This window comes from Homo sapiens, chromosome 3 (assembly GCF_000001405.40).
Source record: "Homo sapiens chromosome 3, GRCh38.p14 Primary Assembly".
Lineage (NCBI taxonomy): Eukaryota > Metazoa > Chordata > Mammalia > Primates > Hominidae > Homo > Homo sapiens.
Genome location: NC_000003.12, coordinates 74,420,036 through 74,442,640, shown reverse-complemented (window position 1 = coordinate 74,442,640; position 22,605 = coordinate 74,420,036). Strand labels below are relative to the sequence as shown.

Genomic DNA, 22,605 nt, shown 5'->3' with positions numbered 1-22,605 from the left:
CCCTATAGATGGGTTATGCATCTGAATTAAGATTGTGGAAATAAGGTAAAGAGGAAGACAAGGATTTTAGAAATACATGTAAGAGAAAATTAGGTACTTGATTTTATGCATGAAAAATTTATAAGGAAGAAACAAAAAACGTGCTAGACCTTAAAAGGTAATAATTATTTTTCTTAGGGTGGAAAGCAGAGGAAGAAGACCATCATGAAACAGAATTTTTAAAGTGTGAATAAAATAGGCTATTATTCGATAAAAATGAGGAAGGAAGGGTGTTATCGGCAGCAGCCACAGTATGTACAAATGCAAGCAGAGCTGACATGTTTAGTGATAGACCTTAGCCTAGAAAAAGAGAAAGATACTGGAGGTATTTAGCCAGAGGAGAAGAGACTGATTTATGGTGGTAGGCCACCATAAGTATAAATAACTCTTAGCACATGGGATATAAAAATAATCTCTCTCTCTCTGTGTGTGTGTGTGTGTGTGTGTGTGTGTGTACTTGCATGCACTTACCTGTTTGTTTACAAGGTTACCTTGTCATCTAACAATTAGATTTCTGTGTATCAAGGGGAGGTTTCAGAAGGCAGACTTAGGTTAAATGGAGAACCCCATTTTCAATCTATTTTACTGTAAAAGCCTTCTACCTCAGTATGTAATAGTTATGCAAAAAATGAAATTGAATGGAATAGGAACATAGAGACCTTTATGTGTAGAAAGTCAAGCTTATGGAATATATACTTGTATAGAAATATTTTCTATGAGAATGGTAACCTAATTTGTCATGTTAGCTAAATGCAAAAGATAATTTATTTTATAGGCAGCGATTTTATACATAGGATTGATGGAGTGCATTTCTCCTGCCAGTATTGAGATTTCTGGCATTTTCAATAAACAAACAGGGCCAAAGGATAATACCACCCATTTAATAAGTTGGTACATTTATTCCAACAGACATATGTTTAGATTTGTCCCATTTTCATCTCATTTTATCCTCCACATCAGCACAGTTGCCCTAATTGCTTTCTAATTTGTATACATTTTTGCACTTAAAAAATTTAAACTAAGAAATCTTTTTCAAGGGCTTCTTAAGTACCAAAGGGTGGGGTTCTACTAAACTAATGTATCCATGTGTCAACCAGCATCCTGTGTAATGCATTTCTGAAGTACAAAATTGCACTCATTGCTCTCTTGCTGTTGGCTTATTCTGGATCTCAGATAAAACTTATAAAGAAAACAAGTAGTATGGATTTATGCTTGTTTACTTAGCCAGAGAAACAAAGGCAAATGCATATTCAGAGGTATACTGATAGCGATGTTTCCATGGAAACAAGGATGCTATCATAATATTTATTTCCATCTATTATGCTTTAGTGTATTTTGGGGTATAGTGTTAAAATGATAAAATATATGACTTTCTTTTCTCAAAAAACTGTATATTAGGTTGATGGGTTTTTTCTGGGTTAGATGTTTTTAAAGGCCTATGTCATGAAAACTATCAAGAGTCACATTAAAACATATAATTTTAATTATTCCCCATAAGTTATAAATTACATTCATTTGCTTGCTTATAAAATTTTGAAATTCAGATACATGACACAGTAAGTCTCACCCAATGTTAAAGTTAGGGGTAAATACAGTCATCCTTAGGTGTCCATGGGGGATTGTTTCCAGGACTCTCATGGATACCAAACTCCAGGGATGCTCATGTCCCTGACATAATGGCATGGTATTTACATATAACATAGGCACATCATCCTGTATACTTTAAAGCATTTCTACATTACTTATAATATCTAATAAATGTAATGCTTTATAAATTGTTGTTATGCTGTATTGTTTAAAGACAAATGACCTAATGCATATGAGGCTTAAAACCTAGATGACGGGTTGATAGGGGCAGCAAACCACCATGGCACATGTATACCTTTGTAACAAACCTGCATGTTCTGCACATGTATCCCAGTACTTAAAGTAAAAAAAAATAAATAACAACAGGAAAAAAAGTATACATGTTCAGTACAGACAAATTTTTTCCAAATATTTTTGATCCACAATTGGTTCAATCCACCAATGGGGAACCTATGGATACAGAAGGCTAACTGTACATGCATTTCTCTACATTCCACAGTTATATTTTATGGGAGACTTTTTTTTTTTTTTGCTATTTGCTTTTTAAGCTTTAAGTTGGCGATTCAAGAGATCTGTAGCAGGAGAACAGAAATCAACTATGCAAGGTAGGGATCTAAGATATTATTAATCTCCCACCAATGGACATATATTACTTGTCTCATGTAAGATTAATATAGGGGTATAAGAGAGTGAGATCTCTTATTGGAATCACTTAATACATCTATTTATGTACTAATATATAATATGTGCGAAGCAGTGTTTTCTGTGCTCAGGATGTAAGAATGATCTGGAAAACTGTCCATGGTTTTGTGAAGCTTACATTCTAGTTAGTGGGGGAGATGGGTACTAAACAGACAAAAAATGCACCACAGAATATTATACAAAATTTGAAAAAACTTACAGGAACATAGGGTTATAGGAAGTGATAACTAATGGAAGCCAGTTATACCCAAATATGGTGTTGTCATATACATTTTAAAAGCTTTGTCTCATTTATCATTGCCTTGGGTCTTTATATCAAACCTCAGGGGGTTCCTGGGTAGGTGTTATTCCTAGTTGCTGAGAAAGAGAAACCAAGGAACTGCATGGTTAAGGAACCAGTTGGCCAGATTCAGAAGGTCACAACACAGGCCTTTTTCACTCAGCTTTGTAGGCACTTAATTAGAGTTGTTGAATAAATGGGTGAATGATTGAAAGAATGAACATACCTAAATACGACTTTCAAATTGGACATATTATCTTTTTCACCTTTTGTAGGTGAAGTTTCTATGGACTGAAAAGGAATCAGGAGCTTAAGCTTTAATTTGGTTGTGTTGTTTCTCTGTTTTCTCCCTGTTAGAAAGAGAATGTGCCATCAGCCTGCCTCTGACACTTAACCAGCAGTGTGATTTTAGGCAAAACCTAATCTCTCTTGTCCTTGGTTTGCTTATGTAAATATTGGGAATAACAATATCAGTATTGCCCATTTCACAGATTTTTTTAGTATCATATAAGATGAAATATATGCAACTTTAGATGATCATACTTTTTTATTTTTTGGAGTGCAGTGGCTCAATCTCAGCTCACTGCAACCTCTGCCTTCCAGGCTCAAGAGACTCTCCTGCCTCAGCCTCCTGAGTAGCTGGGATTACAGGCATGTGCCACCACGCCTGGCTAATTTTTGTATTTTTAGTAGAGGTGGGGTTTTGCCATGTTGGCCAGGGTGGTCTCGAACTCCTGGCCTCAAGTGATCTGCCTACCTTGGCCTCCCAAAGTGCTAGGACTACAGGCATGAGCCACCACACCCAGCCTAATTGTACATATTGAAGTCATCATTGATCCTTTAAAAAGTAATCTTCATTTCACTTGAATTAGAGAAGCATTTTTTCCAGATAGTTCATAAAATAATCTTTGATGTCCCTCTCTTATTTTGATGAAAATCAAATTAAGCTAATTAACCTAATTAGCTTCTTTTTATATAAGAAGGGTACTCTTTGAATGCCAGATCACAGGAGTTCTCACCACCTGTGAACTATGCTATTACTCTGGAACTAAGTTGTTGCAGGGTGAAGTGTTAACAAATGAACTATTTTGTAAGTAAGGGTAAGGATTCTGTGTTCAATATTTTTGTGTTGAGTTAGGAGAATTATTGCATGTGCTAATTTATTTATATTTTTCAATATTGCTATAATTGATAGAAGTCAACTTGTACCATCTTATGTGCATTGCAAAAATCACACGTGTCTTAAAAGCAACTATTTTATGAAATTTCTAAACAGCCTCAATGACTAATATATTTAGCCAAACACAGATGCTAAATATCAAGAGCTTTAAGACTCTCGTGTTGAATTCAACAACTATTATTAAATAACTACTCTACTAACTAGGGGGAAGGAAGAGAAATTATGGTGTTCCTGGAGAGACAGACATGCCTATAAAAAGCAAGAGGATAAATACAGGTAAACTAGAGTAGTTGTTGAAGGCCTCAAAGGAGAAAGCAATAATTTAGCTGGACTTGGATGACAAATAAGTCTGGATAGATGTGGCTAGGAAAAGACACAGGGTTTATCTTTGCCTAGAGAAAGGGAGCAACATGCTAACACTTATTGAGCACCTACCGTATTCCAAAAACTTTGCATTTATTTTCTCATATAATCCTCTCAGCTGGCCTCTAACACGTTATGTTATCTTCATTTTTCAGACTAAGATCCTAAGTATCAAAGTGTCTAAGAAATTTGTGCAAAATCACAGAGAGATTCAATCACAGAGTGGTGGATATTACCACTGAAGTCTAACTGCAAATTCTTTGCTGAAGAAACCACTGAGACATTTTAATCTACACTATTAAAAAGTTCTTAAAAATGTTTGAGTACATAATTAAGATAACTGCATTGAAGTGGTATAATTTGTTCCCATATTCAGAATAATGTCATTTTATATGATCTCTTTGTTTCCACATTGGAAAGGAGATGTTACTAAGTGAGAAGACCAAGTACATCTTTGTATAACTAATGGTTAAAACTCCTCTATGGCATACCCAGTACAGTGGTAAGTTTTTTAAATATGATATTGTGTAATAGTCTTGAAAATACAGCTTTCTTTATTTGATAATGTTTTATGTGAGAACATTGGCTTTTTCTGTTGCCCCATTGAAATCCTTTTAACATGTACTTTGCACAGAGATTTTCTAAATTATCTCCAAACTCAGATATACCACCTGGAGGTCTTCATTTCAAAACAAAGAATGTGATTCATGCTCTTGCCACAAAAATGGGAAAAAAAAGTGTAGTTTTGATGGAAAAATTCTAGGGCTATATATATGTATATATACACACACACACACATATATAAACACTTGAAGTATAAGAAACTCTTTTAAGAAAGCAAAGATTTAGTTGACTCTTCAGTTTGTAGTAATTGTTCGTGTTTTAAACTTTAGTATTGTAAAATTAACATCCATAATCAAATAGGGAGAGTTTTTGTTGTTGTTATGTGTTTTTCCTAGAATAGATACTTTAGAAGAGCAAAACTGTCAGTAGCAGAAACATGGGTTTTTTTTTATTTTTATTTTTTTGAGACAGAGTCTCGCGCTGTCACCCAGGTTGGAGTGCAGTGGTGCGATCTCGGCTCACTGCAAGCTCTGCCTCCCGGATTCACGCCATTCTCCTGCCTCAGCCTCCCGAGTAGCTGGGACTACAGGTGTCCGCCACCACACCCGGCTAATTTTTTGTATTTTTAGTAGAGACGGGGCTTCATTCACCATGATAACCAGGACGGTCTCAATCTCCTGACCTCGTGATCCGCCCACCTTGGTCTCCCAAAGTGCTGGGATTACAGGCGTGAGCCACCGTGCCTGGCCAGAAACATGGTTTTTAATTTTATTTGTTTGATTTAGCAAATGAGCATTTTGTTTTTTACTTTTTGCTAAGTACAGAAGGGGTTTTCTTATTTGATATAGTCAGAGGCAGTACTCTGTTATATGAAAAATTGTTTTAAAACAGGTAATCATTTTTAAAAGGTATATAGATACCATAAACAAGTAATTTTGCTTTGAGTATGCAACTGTGTGTGTTTTTTGTTTTGTAATGTGCCAAGCGTTCTTCTTTGAGAAAGGGTTGGACAGTAGGAGTTCACTTTATTATTTATATAAGCCACACTCATTATGAATTTTCTTTGATTTCCAATTGCTGTTTTACTTTGCAATTGAGTTATTTAAAAAATATTTCTGAAACAATCTGGGTACAGAAATAGAATAAACAGAATGAAGATTTTTGTTTTGTATTTCCAGCTTTTATGGTTGTCTTGCCCAATCTCTTTTATCTAATTTGGCACTGGTTTTGGGGAGAGGAAGGGTGACTCTCCTTTATTGAGCTTTTCAAAAGCCTTTATATTTGTTTTTATATAAACAACATATTCCTTTTTTCATATTCATATTTCATCACTTTTTTGGTATTTTTCTAATAATTTCAGTGAAATTGTTACTAGCGTAATTAGTTTTGTTAGCAAATACATCTAATTGAAATGATGAAAGCAGAAGGGCTTGCTAGAGAGCAGCTACCAGGCACAAGCATTCTGTTTGCCCTGGACAACTGAGAGTGCCATGGAGGGAGTGGATCGTACTGCTTAGATTGAGGCCATCTGTACTGGGTAGGTGTGGTGTGAGGTCTGTGGAAGGCGACAAAGGGAGCTGGAGAAGGATCATGCCCTCAGCCTTAGCCTTACTGAGCAGACAGACCTAAAATGCAGTTTCCGTAAACATCCAAAATGTTCAGAGAAGGTATCTTTCACATAGGAGGGGTATTTTTAGTTAGACCTTGAAGATTATTAGTAAATGTAAGTTGAAAGGGGAAGGATAGAGCATAAGCAAAGAGTTAGAATCAGAAATACTCTAAGTGACAGAGTACGCTCGCTTGTCCAAATACCCTGAACCTAGGCATAAACTTCATGTACACATGTATATGCATACACATCTGTTGAATAATTGAATGAATGTTAGGACAGAGAATGTGGACTTTATCATCTTGGCAGTGGGAAATATGTGTATAGGCGTTTTAGCAGGTGTTAGAAACTGAGAGTGTGTTTTATAAAGAAAACTGAACTCTGTGTGTAGAGGATAGATGGATTGGATGGGAGGAGAGAGGCTGCAGGCGGGGAGACCAGCGTGAGGGTTGGATGGACCTATTGCATAATACAAAGACAAAAAGAACTGGACTTGAAATCAATGGGACTGGATGTGATCTCAGCTTTATCAGTTATTGCATCATGTTAGTCACATTCCAAAATAGCTTTCAGCCACAGTTTTCTAGAAAATGCAAAGTTAATACTTTTAAAATAGAAATTTTGTGAAAAATAAATGTGTTAAATTCAAGAAAATCTCTATCACAGTGTCTAGCAAAGCCATCCATCTATTAATTCCTTCATATCCCCATTTACTCAGTGTGGATGAAGCATACTCTTATGACTTCATAAGAGTGTAATCTAAGGTGTAAAAGCCAAACAAGTATATGGGCCCATATGCCTCATATGTGACAGCTGAATCTGCATTACAAAATAGTTCCAGGCTCAGTGTGGTGGCTCATGCCTGTAATCCTAGCATTTCAAGAGGCTGAGACAGGTGGATTGCTTGAGCCCAAGAGTTTGTGACTGGCCTGGGCAACATGGTAAAACTCCATCTCTACAAAATAATACAAAAAACTAGCTGGGGATGTTGGCACACAACTTTGGACCCAGCTACTTGGGAGGCTGAGGCATAAGAATCTCTGGAGCCTGGAAGGGAGAGGTTACAGTGAGCTGAGATGGTGCCACTGCACTCCAGCCTAGACAACAGAGCAAGACCCTGTTTCAAAAATTAATTTAATTTAAATCGTTCCAGTAAAATTAATATGATGGTAATGCAAAATCAGAGATAAATGGGAAGAGAAAGACTGGGTTTTGCGGAACAATTAACTTGATCAAATTTAATGTATTGAGCAAATGTAGGAAAAGAAAGAGCCAAACTGGTTGTGGGAGTCTTTGAGAGAATAACAACAGGGAAGTTGGAAGAGGAACTGTATTAGAGGAAACACCAAGAACATAGGAAAATGCAGTGTCAAATATGAGATGGCAATTGGACATCCAAAAAATATCTGAAATGCATGCAGAAAATGAATGTTTTGAATCAAAATTTGATGGACATATCATTGATATATACACAGTGGTAGGATCTTGAGACTTGGTGAGTTTCCTGAAAGAATGTGAAGAAAAGTGATAGTACCTATCATTTATTTAACATTTATAAATTAAGCAGTGTTTTAAGTAATTTACACGAGTTATCTTATTTCTTCCTTGCAACAATAGCAGAGGTAATTGCTGTCTTATCCTTAATTTACTGATGGGGAACCTGTGGATCAACAAATGAAGTAATATGCCCTGTTCAAATAGCTAGAGAGAATCAGCCAAGGGATTGCACCTAGGTTTGTCTGACTCCACAGGACAAAGACTTGACTTCAACCCAAGTTAAAAATTGAAAGGAAACAGATGTTCATGGACCTCTGGGGGTGGGCAGTAGAGCGAGTGTTCAGAAAAGTTGGGCATGAGATCATTGGAAGATGTGTTTTATTTTTAAGATGGGGTGAACTGTGCATGTTTGAAAAACTGTAAGGAAGACAAAAGAGAGATGGAAACAGGAATCGTTATGAAACCAGAGACTCAAAAGGAAAAATGAAACCTTGTACTTGTATAATTGTTTTCATTTTTCAAAAGGCTTACAGATCTGGGATGCTAAGGTTCCTCTCTTGAAAAGCCCTGTGAGGTTCAAAGAGTGGATATTGTACCCACTTTACAAATAGAATGTGTGAAGACACAGGGCAATCAAGTGACACACCTATAGATCTGCAGGCCTGGATTATGGTCAGAATATCCTGATGTTCTAATTCCTGTGTTCTCTTCCTAAATTTCACTAGTAGAAAGTTAGGAACTCTGCAATGCAGACACCAATAATTTAACTTTGGTGGGAAGACCCATGATGGAGATCCTAAGGAAAATGAGATGATGGATGCTTATTTCAGACATTCTTTGATGACCTACACAATGCCAAGAAATATGTGACAGTCTAGAGATAGAAAGATGAAAATGACAAGGCTCTAATCCTGGCAGAGCCCCCAGAATAGAAGAACAAGGTGGGAAAATATAAAAGTATAGAAAATAAGAAAGAACAGCAATAATTTCAAAGGTTTCAAAAAAGAGATGTGGCCAAAGCTGGTTTGGAAGATAAATAAAAGTCTTCTGTGTCAGTGGAGGAGTGGGAGCCTTATGTGCATGGCATGGGCTAGCATTTTTGTGCTTGGGGAAAAGGAAAAGTTTGTTGTTGCTTAGTGTATGTGGCTGGGAGTTGACAGTGTTGGAGCAATGTATGGGAGGCAGATGAAGCTGAACTATGAAATACCTATGTGGAAAGGTCTTGTAGAGTATACTTAGGTGCTTAGGGTCCACCCTGTGCCTGCATTTTCCAGGTTGTGTTTCAGAACAAAACAACAGATCCTGAGGCTGTTATGATCTTATTAGATGCTTTGCTACATTTCCTAAATAGTGTTAGAAAAATACGAAATACTTCAGTCTCTGCTTGGAGACTTACAATGCACACCTGTTTTAAAATCTCGCAAAAGGCTCAGGCTTAAGGAAAAAATCTGTTTGTGGTAGACATTTTTTGATGCCCTGTATCACACCTCTGATTCCCACCTCCCAAAGCATTTGCAGAGCGGGTAGACAGTTTCTTGCAGGTTCATAGTAGAAGCTCTGATGGAGATGAGGGAGTTGTTGCTCCCAGGGAAATTCCTCCACTATTGGGGTTGGGAGCCTGTGTATACCCCCGACTCCCATCTTTCAAATGGATGATTCTGGATGACATTTTGTATGGTTGTCAGAGGTTCATTTGAAATCAAGTTCTCATTGACTGCAGTAGCAATTTCGATAATGTACCCAGATGTTGAATTTTCCTCCATCTCTCCCCTTTCCTTCCCCACTGCCTCTAAGATCACCCCCCATAAACTATGTCACCCAAGTCTTTTTGGAGGCTCTGGCTTGGGAGAAACAAAACTAAAACACTATTGAACTTTTGTTGAATAAGCTATTATTTTTCATAAGGATAAAGTTTTGTTTTCCTAAGACACACTTTGCCATGGGAGAGTTTTCCCTTAGGGGGTTTATACATAATTAAATGTTTTGAGAATTGGACCAGCAAGAAAGGGAACAAAAAAGGAGGAGACACTTTGAATTTGGGTGTTGGGAAATAGAGCAAGAAATAACGAAAATAATGATTGAGTTTTGAACATGCTGATACCGAAGATAACTAAGAGTCAGTTGTTTATGTCTAATATTCCGATTTAGGAGATCTTCTAAGTGCTTCTGCATGTGCCATAAGGCAGGAAGAAAGGTGTGGTCATTCACTGAGCTGGGATTTTTTTATTTTTGTAGTGGGCATGCTTTAATGAGATTTATCAACTACTTGAAACTTTACCACTTGATTGTGAAACTGAATCGTTGCATGGGATTCTTTTTTATAGCAAGCTTGTCCAACCTGTGGCCTATGGTGGCTTCGAATGCAGCCCAACACAAATTTGTAAACTTTTGTAAAACATTATGAGATTTTTTTGTGATTTTTTTTTTTTTTTTAGCTCATTGGCTCTTGTTAGTGTTAATGTATTTTATGTGTGGCCCAAGACAATTCTTCTTCCAATGTGGCCTAGGGAAGCCAAAAGATTGGACAAGCCTGACTTACAGTAAGGGTGAAAACCATAACTGAATTGCAGTCTTGATTTTGATTGCTTTTCTGGGTATGTTCATTGGGTTTCTTCTTAGCTTTTGCATGGCAGTGCACAAATTTCTTTTATTGGCAGCGACCTGATTCTTTCAAAGGCAATCTTGTCATTTACACTGTTCATGTAATGATGTAATTTGATAACTACCAATCACTAAGCATTTCAACATTAAACATTAAAGACGTTTAAGATATTATGTATGGAAGACTATTGCATTGCCTGTGTCTGTGTTCCTGGTACAAATTATCACTACTGGATAGTATTTTTCATTTTAATTGAAGAGGTAACACTTCACCTCATAGCATCAAATAGCATTGTGTTATACAAGTAGTAAGGCTCACATCCAGTTTTCAATGACAATGATTTCATTCGCTCTTCATGCTGTGATCACAAGTAGATATAAAGCATTTTGAGGCAGAGCTCTTCAGTTTTTAAATGTTGAGACCATTTAGTCAGCTGGCCACCATTTCAGATATATTGCCACTATTATGTTACATTTTAGTTCTTTTAGAGGGAAAATGGCTTGTTTTACTTTGCAGTCTCTTATTGACATCTTTTTTAATATTTATGTGCCCAATTGCACATGTGGCCTTTTCAGCATTTCCCATAAAATTGTCTACATAGAATTATTTGGTCAAATACATTTAGAATACTCTATAATATCCATTCCACTTTAGTAGATATTATTTGTCCATAGTTTATATTAAGGTCCCTGACTTATTCTGCAAAAAGAAACTCATTTAACTTGGCTTGACACAAGTTTACTCAAATTTACTTGTTGGGAAATGGTAGTCATTCTTCTGGTTGATTTTAAGTCGTACAGAGACAGACTTGTGCACTATACCCCTGCAGTTATACCAAGTGGTATTTCACATACTCTGCTTGATAGTTCACTACCTAGGTCAATTCAGGTGAGAAACCAACACCAACAATATGTAGGAAGGGGAAAAAGATTGAGCACAGAATATCAGAAAAAAAGTCAGAGTGACCCCAGTTTCTTTTCTCCATATGCATTGATGGTTTCCTGGAGTTTTCCTTGCTACTGCATGGGAAGATCAACCTGAAGTGCAGAGCTTGGATAGGCAATAGAAAACCTGGCCCAATATAGAAAATTAACAGACGTGTATCAAAGTGAAGACTTTTATACACCAGAAATGGTCCATGTGAATTTTTACAAAAAGCTAGTCACAAGAAGGAGTGTTCTTCCCTAAGGGCTCTGCACACCTTTCTTTGATGTTGACTTCGGAGATACTGGCCCCATGTTGTGGCTGGAGCTATGGGCTCTGGTAGAGTAGCACACACAGCTGATGGCCAGAAGCGGGGTCAGCAAGCCACTTCTATCCTGTAGGTAACGTGGGGGAAGAGAAAATAAAAGGAAATAAGGAAATATGAGGAACTGGACTTTATCTTTGCTTGCTTGCTTATTATTTTTTAATTCATATTTCCCTGGTTTATACATACTCATTGTGTATGTGTATTTAGTTCTAATTTTATCACATGGATGTACATGTGTTGACCAACACAGTCAAGAAAGAGGACAGTTCAGGTCCCACAAGGATCCCTCATAGTACCCTTTGATAACGACACTCCCCTATCTCCCTCCACTTTCCCTAAACATTGGCAACCACTAGTTTACTCCCATTTTGTTTTTATTTTAATTTTTTAAGAGATGGGGTCTCACTATTGCCCAGGCTGGTCTCTAACTCCTGGTCTCAAGCAACCCTCCTACCTCAGCCTCTGGAGTTGCTGGGATTACAGTTGTAAAACACCATGCCCAGCACTAAACCCTATTTCTAAATTTGAATTTTTTAAAGTTTTACATAAATGGAATCATATAGTAAGTAACCTTTTGGAATTGGCATATTTCAGTCAGCATAATTTCCTGAAGATTTACCAAAGGGGTTGGGTGTATAAAGATTTCATTGCTTTGAGTTGCAGGGTAGCATTCCATGGTATGGATGTAGCACTGTGCATTTAGCCATTCACACATTGAAGGAACTTGGGTTGTTTCCAGTTTAGGGCTGTTAGACATAAAACTCTGCGAACTTTTATGTACAGATTTTTGTATGAACAAGTGTTTTCATTTCTCTAGGATAAATGCCCAAAAGTGCAATTGCTGGTCATATGGTAGTTACGTGTGGTTCGTTTTACAGGAAACTAAAAAACATGTTTTCCATATTGGCTTTGACATTTTACACTTAAGAAGACAATGTCTGAATCATCCAGCCTCCTTACATCCTCTCCAAGATTTAGTGCTGTCACTGTTTTGTTTTTTGTTTTTAGGTATTTTGGTAGGTGTGGAGTGACAGCTCATTGTAGTTTTAATTTGCATTTCCCCGATGTCTAATGATGTTGAACATCTTTTCAGGTCCTTATTTTCCATCTGTTTTTCCTCTTCAGTGAACTGTTTGTGTCTTCTTCCCATTTTCTAATGGAATCGTATGTTTTATACTATTGAATTTTGGGCAGTCTTACTTATTCTAGATACTCTTTCTTTAGTGGATAAGTGGTTTTCAAGTATATCCTCCCAGTCTGTAGCTTTTCTTTACATCCTCTTTGCTTGAGCTTTCATGGAGCAGAAGTTTTAAATGTTGATGCAGTCTGGTTTATTGGTCCTTCCTTTTAAAGACCATTCAATTGGTGTCAAGTCTAAAAGCTCTTTGCCTATCCTTACATCACAAAGATGGTTTCCAATATTTTTTAAATAAAAGTTCTATAGTTTTATGTTTTACATTTACGTTTGTGGTCTAGTTTGAGTTGATTTTTAAACTGAGTAAAGTTTAGGTCGATTTTTTTTTTTCTCTCCTTCCATTGAATTGCATTTTTTCAAAAATCAGCTGAGCCCATTTTTGTGAGTCTATTTCTGTGTTCTCTGTTTTGCTGTATGGATCTATGTGTCTCTCCCTGTGCCACTACCACATGGTCTTGATCATTGTAGCTATATTATAAGCCTCAATGTTAGGTAGAGTGATTCTTCCTGCTTTGTTTTTAGTCTAGATAGTTTTACACATTCTAAGTCCTGTGCCTTTACATATAAATTTTAGAATAAGCTTGTCTTTATCTACAAAAAAAAAAGAACAAACCCAAAACCATGCTGATATTTCGATCAGAATTATATTAAAATTATACACTCATGTGTCACTTAATGACAGGGATATGTTCTGAGAAATGCATCATTAGGTGATTTCATCAAACATCATAGTATGTACTTATTATACCCAGATGGTATAACCTACTACACACCTAGGCTGTATAGTATAGCCTATTGCTGCTAGGCTATAAACCTGTACAGCAGATCACTTTACTTAATACTGTAGGCAATTGTGACACAATGGTGAGTATTTGTGTTTCTGAAAATATCTAAGCATAGAAAATGTACAGTACAATATAAAAGATAGGAAACGGTATATCTATACTGAACACTTACCATGAATGGAGCTTGCGGGACTGGAGGCTGTTGTGGGTGAACTGGTGAGTGAGCGGTGAGTGAATGTGAAGGCCTAGGACGTTACTGTACATTACTGTAGACTTCATAAACACTGTACACTTAGGCTACACTGAATTTATAAAAATATGTTTCAGTGATAAATTAATCTTGGCTTACTATAATATTTGTATTTATAAACTTTTAATGTTTTATGAATTTTGACCCATAATAACACTTAGCTTAAAACACACATTGTGGAGCTTTACTAAACTATTTTCTTGTACACTTATTCAATAAGCTTTTTTATTTTGTTTTCTTTTTAAGTGTTTTTGCCAAAAGCATTTAAAAACACACGTTAACCTAGGCCTACACAGGGTCAGGATCATCAGTATCACTGTCTTCCACCTCCACATCTTATGCCACTGGAAGATCTTCAGGGGCAATAACATGCATGGAACTGTCATCTGTTATAATGACAATGCCTCCTTCTGAAAAACTCCTGAAGGACCTACCTCAGGCTGTTTTATGGTTAACCTTTTTTTTTTCAATTTATAGAAGTAATATATTCTAAAATAACAATAAAATTATAGCATAGTAAATACATAAACCCGTAACAGTTATTTAGTATCATTCTCAAGCATTATATGCTATACATAATTTTATATGCAAAACTTTTATATGACTGGCAGCATAGTAGGTTTTTTACACAATCACCACAAACTCAGGAGTAATATATTTCACTACTATGTCATGATGCCTATGATATCACTGTTGTAAATATGGTCTGGCCATATATGTGGTCCAGCATTTACCGAAACATTGTTCTACAGCATATGACAGTGTATTAATTTGGGAAGAACAGCAATTATGTTGAATCTAACAATCCATGTACATAGTATGTGTCTCCATTTATTTATGCCTCTGCATTTTTTTTCTTTTTCATTAGCATTCTGTAATTTTCATTATACAGATCTTCTGCATGTTTTGTTATGTGTAATTTACCTGGGTATTTTATTTTATTTGGAACAATTGTGAGTAGTTTTGAGTTTTTAATTTCAATTTTTGCATGTTTATTATTAGTATGTAGAAATTGTATCCTGTGACCTGCTTAACTCCCTCGAATTTCTGATGTTGGGGAGGGGGAAAGCACTCGGTCTTTCACCATTAAATATGATGATAGCTGTAGTTACTTGTAGGTGTTCTTTATCATCTTAGTTTGTTTTTAAAGTCCAAAATTGGACTATATATAGCTTGACTTACATTTGGGTGGCACATATAATCTTCCACTAGATATTTTAATGATCTGAAGCTTTTTAGACATTGACACTACTCTTTTCTCATAGTTCCTAGTGTTGCAAAAAAGGAGAAAAGTCTCGCTATACCTTGACTGTAACATGTATGTTCTTATGCATCTATGTTGCTCCATCTGCCTCAGAAAAATGCCCACCCTGGCCCTCTGACTGCTACTACTACTGTCCGTCTACTTGGCCAGGTTCTGCTTGTTAAAGCCTTGGTTACACCTGTAGATTAACTATGCAGTCCTCTGTGTACTTACCACCTTTTCAGCAAAGTGCCACTTACAATGTGCCATTACAATTAAGTTATTTTTCTTTGCTTCCTGATGCTACGTCCATGAACCGGCCATATCAGATATCCAGAACAATATTCCTTGCACTCGTGCACTGCAGAAAGAGTAGCCATGCTTGTCTCTAGACCAATGGGCAGATCTGTGCCAGCTATATTTGTGCTTAGGCAAAAGAGATTTTACCTTTGGAGGAGACATTACTGGTTTCCGTAGAACTATTCTATACATTTTTGCATATTCTAGCTAAAATCAGTGATAGAAAACATCCACACTGTGAAATTGTATGGCAGAAGATAACAAGGAATTAGACAGGAAGGCAGCAATGATGACACATACTTGATCATCAAGAAATAATCTTTGGAAATTCCATGTATAAGCTACATTCTGATATGAGGTACTGCCTCATTTAGCCATTGGGAAACATTTGGATGGTCTAGTTTTGCAGTTCTAACTCAGTTAGTTACATTCCAAGAGACTTAATGTTTTGAGAATGTTGCATTTTAGTTAGATTTAAGGTGATACAACGCTATGTTATTGTATCATTTCTGTTGGATAGCGTGTGGTTAAAATAAGTCCATCAACTGTTTTTTCTTCTTTTCTGGGCACACACAAGAGAGTTTTGCTGAATCACTTTACTCCATATTTATAACCTAGCAATTTAATACTATTTTTCAGTAACAATAACGTGAGGCACATAGGCCCTCTTATTTCTCTCTGATATACTGCTATATGATCCTTAGAGTATCCCTAAGTGTCTACAGGTTCTGGTTTTATCAATTTGAAGATAATTATTTTGCTTTTTATATTTTTCAAAGAAAAGTTGAAAATATCCAAGTTGTATTCTAAAATACATATACTGCTTCACTGTGTATAGACACCACTTAGGTAATTTATATCAGCCCTTAAGAGCTATGAAGTGAGTATATTCTTTCAGAAATTGACAGTACAATTGTTCTGATACAGAAAGTGACACCATAGAGTATATTAACGGTGTAATTCTTCACAGGCATTTTTTATAAGTCAGAGTTTAAAGAAACAGATCTTTCTTCCTCTTTCCCTATGAACTAAAGCATTTTTAAAAATGAAGTCAACGGAATTTTCTCTCTCCTTTAATTTAACTTGGAAAGAATGAATCAGTATTTGCTGTACTGGATTGTCATTGGAAGAAATTAAATGTTCTCTAAAAATAACCGTTGGTAATCAAAATAGTATTTGCACTTGATTGCTATTTTTTTAACTTTTTTAAACACTTGAAAAAATCTTTGGATGCTTATAAAAATAATTATTTTTAGCCGCTATAAATAAAAGGGAATATGCTGATTTAAATTACTGTTATCCTTTGAATTCTATGTACTTGGTAATTTTCAGTGACAATATATCTTCCACAAAGCCCTTCAGAATATGGGAAAAATAGGACTTATACTCAGAAACTGAATATTATCAAATATTTTTGTAAATAAAAATAATTATAGGTAGAATAAAATCTATTTAGGCTATGATAAAATGTTTTAGGAGGGAAATTCATGAATAGTTGGTCATTATTACAAGTTGAAGCTAAAAGTATTCATGATATGGTGAATCACTGGTGAATGTGAAAGTCATATTTATGTTTATTTTTGATTTAGGATATTTCATTTCCTTTTTTGAATTATATTGTCTGGTTAGTTCATTCTGATACACGCTTTGTCTTTGGATAGTTCATGCCATTTTAGACACTATTTCAGCAACATGGGATCAGTGGGTATATATTTATATTGTATTGCTGAATTTCTAGAAGCTTTAATAAAGAAATCAGAATCCAGCTTTTCTACCTCAAAGCAAATGGTTTTCTCTCTAGGTTCTGGGAAAGAGATTTTAAAATTGTTTTCCATGCAGGAACAGAAAACCAAATACTGTATGTTCTCACTTATAAGCAGAAGATAAATGTTAGGTACTTATGACCATAAAGATGACAAAAGTGGACCCTGGGGACGACTACAGTGGGGAGGAAGGGAGAGGGGTAAGGATTAGAAAACTACCTACCTGTTGGGTTCTGTACTCACTACCTGGGTGATGAGATCAACCAAACCCCAAACCTCAGCATTACACAGTATAACCACATAACAAACCTGTACGTGTACCTCCTGAATCTAAAATAAAGGGTGAAATTCTAAGTAAATAAAAATAAAAATTTTTAAAGAAAAAAGCAAAAACTAAAATTGTTTTCTAAAAGAAAGGAAGGTCTTGGTGTAAAATTTGTGATTTAATTGGTCTTTCTAAAATTCAGTTTTGTTTTGTTTTCAAATCAGATCTTGAAAATTTTAAAACCAAAATGAGGAGTACAGTGTCTGTGCGTGAAGGCCAGGGAGTTGTGCTGCTCTGCGGCCCCCCACCACACTCTGGAGGTAAGTCATGCTCTGTTTCTGCTTTTCATATTTATTAAGGTTCAGGGCAAGGCCTGCAGCGCATGTACTGTTATTGCATCTGTAAATTACTCTGAGAAACTTGATAACCTGAGCATTAGATTTTGTCTGCTGAGTTGGAATATGAGGAACACTACAAAAAATAGTCCATCCAGAGAGGTTTCTAAACAATCGACTCATTGACTTTTTGGTTTATAAAGACAAGAGAGATCACATTTGCTTCAGTCACCTAACGGTGCTAAACAATGCTTTGTCATTACACCATTATCATTTGGTTTTTAGTTTTATGCCATGTCAAACTGGATCTTTGCTGTTTGTCTGCCTCTCTTTCTCTCTCTCTCTCTCTCTCTCTGTCACACACACACACACACAAGCTTATTAGTATGTGCCAATAAGCCTCTTTATATATGTATTTTATATATATATATATATATTTATACACATAGAAATGATATGTGTGTATATCCACATCATTTACATTGGGGCGTTGGAATTGCAAATTTTATGCTATATTGGTATAAATTGAAATATTACTAGAAATTCAGAACCTTACCAAGATAGTGACCCAGAGTAAAAATGAACTTCAGCACATATGAAAATAATTTTATTATCTCCCCAGTATGAGCCTGGGGTGCTGGTTTGATTTTCCTATCGTGCTCTCTATTGCAAACTTGGCCACTTGCAGGAACAAAGAGGGCATTATTAATGAATAAATCACTGTTCTCAGAGAAACACGTATTTTGTTATTGAGAGGATGAGAATTATTGGGAGATAAACAAGTTAGAGTGGATCTTTCTGACCAGAAGTGAAACTGAGAAGTCTGCTTCTCATTACAGTAAAACTTATTCAAAGGAAAACATGCTGGACTTTATTTGTTCTGTGACATACAAATTACAGTCCTTTCCACCCAAAGAGTTGTCAGTTTTGATCACAAACCCTCAGCCCAATAAAACAGATATCTCCCATCTTCAGGATCTGGCCACTTGAAATTCGTGAACCATCTGGAGACTGCAGACTTGGAGCTTGATTAAAAAATAGGATTGCCATCATGTGGTCTGCTGTGGGTTTAAATTGTGTTCTCCAGTTTATTTCAAGGGTGTTCATAATTGCTGGAATCTTGATGTTTCAGAAGAACTTTAAGTTTGAAGGGAAGCATAGAGCCTCTTGATTGCAAACAAAGTAACAGAAGTCAAACCGTATTGACAAAAAATTGGGAGTTTGCTGGCTCACATAACTGGGATGATCAAGTGGCTTCTGGTAGCACTGTGAGGTTTTACGAAGAGATACACCACCCAGAAGGACGTGCTGCCTCGCCACGGGGTGTGGGGTTAGTGGATGGCCTCCAGCTCTCACTCCTTCCTGGTCTGCCCCAGCTGCAGAGAGACACTTGCCCACAGTCACACCCCTCCTGAGGAAGCCCACATCTAGTGACTGAGCAAGGCTCGGATATGAAGGGTCAACCATTTCTGACCAACACTGGGCAATTCTGATTTAATCCATAACTTCCTGTCAGGATGACCATGTTTTTGTTGGACCACATCACAATTCAGTTTCTTTCTCTTCCCAGTTGAATCCTAGTTTTTTCCTTTCATGAGTTTTGATCATTGATTAAAAGCTTTTATTCCAAACTCTATTTAGGGGTCCGCTCCCTGAAAACTCAATCCGTTGGATTCAGGGATTGAATCAATTCCATAAACAATCCATTTTTCTCTGTATTTCTTGACTGCACTTCTCTCCATATTGCCTCCATTCTCATGTATCTTCCTTGTGGAGGCAAAGGTGACCTCTGACAGCTCTAAGTTCTGTGATCCTTAATGCTAAATATCCTAATGAAGCAGACACCCTGTTTCTCTATGGCTCCTGATTCTTTTAGAATCAGCCTTTTTTATGGGAGCCCTGAAGCTGAGGGCTTGAATCAGTCCACCAGCTGACAAGCACTGGAATGAGAAAGAAGCAGTTTCCAAAAGAAGTGTTGTATTATGAGTAAAAAGAGGGAGATATATTAGATAGAAATAAATAATTGCTAAAACTACATCTAGGAAGGAAGTATCAAAATAATTTAAATTTATATTGTCTCAAATGAACATAACATAATAGCTGGGTAGTCTTGGTTGTGATCAGTTTTATAGGTGTTGACCCAATTTAAAATTCCGACTGAGTGATTTTGTTTAAGTATTATTATGATTAGATACATTCATTGATCGGAAAGGAGGAACTTTTTGGTTGCCTAAGTATGCACAGAGTGAACATGTCTTAGTAAGCTGTTGGAGGAAACATGTCCCAAAAGATGAATCTATTCAAATGTTATAAAATTGGAGAACTGTTAGCCCATCACACCTGTCCTAAATAATGATATCCTGATTTTTCTCTGCCTTTGGTGACTTCAGGTAGTCCTTTCATTTTTAAAACACTCGGTTGGGATGACAGTGTAAGTCAAATAGGATTGTAGGTGAAGACGGGAAGAAATCTTCCCAGATGTCAGACATGAACCCATAAGAACCCAGAGCATGCATAGGAGAGCAAATAACATTCACCAAAAGCATACTTCCCTCAGTTCCAGATTGTACAGATTTAGATGCTAAAAAGTGTGATGCTCGTTGATCCAAGTGTCTGTAATGCGGAGGTATTCACAATTCACGTCCACTGTCTTAACACATTGGCTTATGAGCTTCTTGAGGGCAGGCCTATGTTGGTGTTCGTCTGCACCCAAGAGCCTAGTACAAGGCTGGTTTGTAACAAACAGTAAATATTGGTTGAAGAAATGAACACATTCATGTAAGGAATACATTTTTAAAAATTTGGCCAGTTATACATGCTTTTTGAGAGTTCACTGGAAACTTTGTGAAGATATAAGCTTTTAACAGCCAAAATGACCTGGGTGCCAACCAGACAGGTGAGGGGATTGACAGATCAGAGTAAACTCTGTCCACAGCAGCTGGTATCAGCCCCGCTTCATCACCTTTTTGACTTATGGCCTTTAATTCAGTAGAGGGTATGAGCCAGGTCAGAGAGCAGCTGAAGCTGTAACTCCGGGGTATATCAGTACAACTGATGAAGGATTAATCAGAGAGCTCATGGCCTGCACTGTGGTCCATTTGGTTTTCTTCCCACAGAGTCGCACAGTCCCTGCAGGACATGTGCTTGCCCTTCTCTGTCTCCCATACTTTGTGTTAGCTATATTCACTTCACATTTCTTCATTTCTTCTTGGTTCCCTCTCTGTGGTTAGAAATGTTTAAATTTGTTATTTTTCTGATTACTGAAGATACAATCATATTTTATTTATCTGTTGTATTTCCTCTTATATCAGCCTAACAGAGTAAGCAAAGAAAGGCAGTAATAGTAATAATAATAGTAACCAGCTGGGCACAATGGCTCATGCCTGTAATCCAGCACTTTGGGAGGCCGAGGCAGGCAGATTGCTTGAGCTCAGGAGTTCAAGACCAGCCTGGGCAACACGGTAAAACCCCACCTCTACCCAAAATACAAAAAATTAGCTGAGCATGGCGGTGCACACCTGTAGTCCCAGCTACTCGGGAGGCTGAGGTGGGAGGATTGCTTGAGCTCGGGAGGTGGAGGTTGCAGTGAGCTGATCATACCACTGCACTCCAGCCTGGGCAACAGAGCGAGACTCTGTCTCAAAAAAAATAAAATAAATAAAATAAAAATAATCATAGTAGTGTTAGCCTCTGTCTATTGAGTGTTGCTTAGATGCCAAGCAGTGTTCTAGTCCTTTGTGGAAATTACCTGCTAGTGAGATTCTTTTTGGGTAAAAGTATGGGGAGGAAGATGTGTGATAATGTACATTAGAGTCTGGAAGCTGAGCCTGCAGATGCTAAGAGCGTGGGCTCTTAACCAGCCAATGCCTAGTGCCTTGAGCCCAGACTTCCTGCTTAGAAATGGCACATGAGGCAGGAGGCCAGAAACTAAGCTTCAGCACAAAACCCTCCAGCTTTTATTTAGGGCTACACTTCGGGAGTTTGCAAAGTGTGCCTCAGAGAGGAGGCAGCCAACCTAAAATCACAGAGCTGTGAAGAAGTAAAACTAGAACCTGGATGCTCTGACTCATGACCAGGGCTCTTTCTAGTATGGCATGCTCTAAACCAGCACCCTGTTGCCATTCTCCAAATGAGAAGTCACAGAGTCCTCAGCAGAAGTGACACTGTCCTAAGCCAAAAGCTTCTGACATTTCAAAATTGGAGACAGCACAGTTCATGGTTTTGTTTTAATTTTCCAGCCCATTGTTTAACACATCAGCAATGCTTAAAATCACATTAGCAGAAATATCTCCAGAGTTAACTAAATGTTTTGACTCATAGTAAAATTGTGTTAAAATCTCCTTTTAGTGCAGTAAGTTTATAACTTTCTTTTGTTTATTTGGGATAAAACCCAGAAATGTTCTCCATAACTAGATTGGGAAGATAGATGTGGAAAAGGCCTAAATAAGGATCCCAAAGTGTGGAAACTGCATATGTTAATCATATTTCCTTAATTAATCAATGTAATTTACAAGATAGTATCAGCAACTTGGGGCAGCTCTGCATAAGAGCATTTGCCATCTATTTGATACTATAATAATAAAAAATTGTTTTATGGTGGGAGACAATGAAGAATTTTCCTAGGAATCCCTGTAACCTCGCAGCAACAGACTGCTGTCATCTGAGAGGGTTCTTATCTCCCCATCATTCTGTGTCATTTTCTGCCACCTCCCAGTCATTGCTTTCTCTGCAGAGCAATCCAGCACCTCTATGAAGCAAGAGGAATTAACCTCCCAAAGTTTGTCAGAAAACTAG

The 22,605-nt window shown here is 36.9% G+C and overlaps 1 protein-coding gene across 4 annotated transcripts in view; it reads left to right on the top strand.

Annotated features, from left to right (window-relative positions):
* CNTN3 (contactin 3) overlaps positions 1 to 22,605 on the top strand; it is a 352,092-nt gene that overhangs the window by 172,019 nt on the left and 157,468 nt on the right. For all 4 annotated transcript variants that reach the window (NM_020872.3, NM_001393376.1, XM_011533768.3 and 1 more), the window contains one exon: positions 17,701 to 17,796. In NM_020872.3, the coding sequence (NP_065923.1) occupies positions 17,701 to 17,796 (96 nt within the window). The remainder of the gene's footprint in view (positions 1 to 17,700; positions 17,797 to 22,605) is intronic.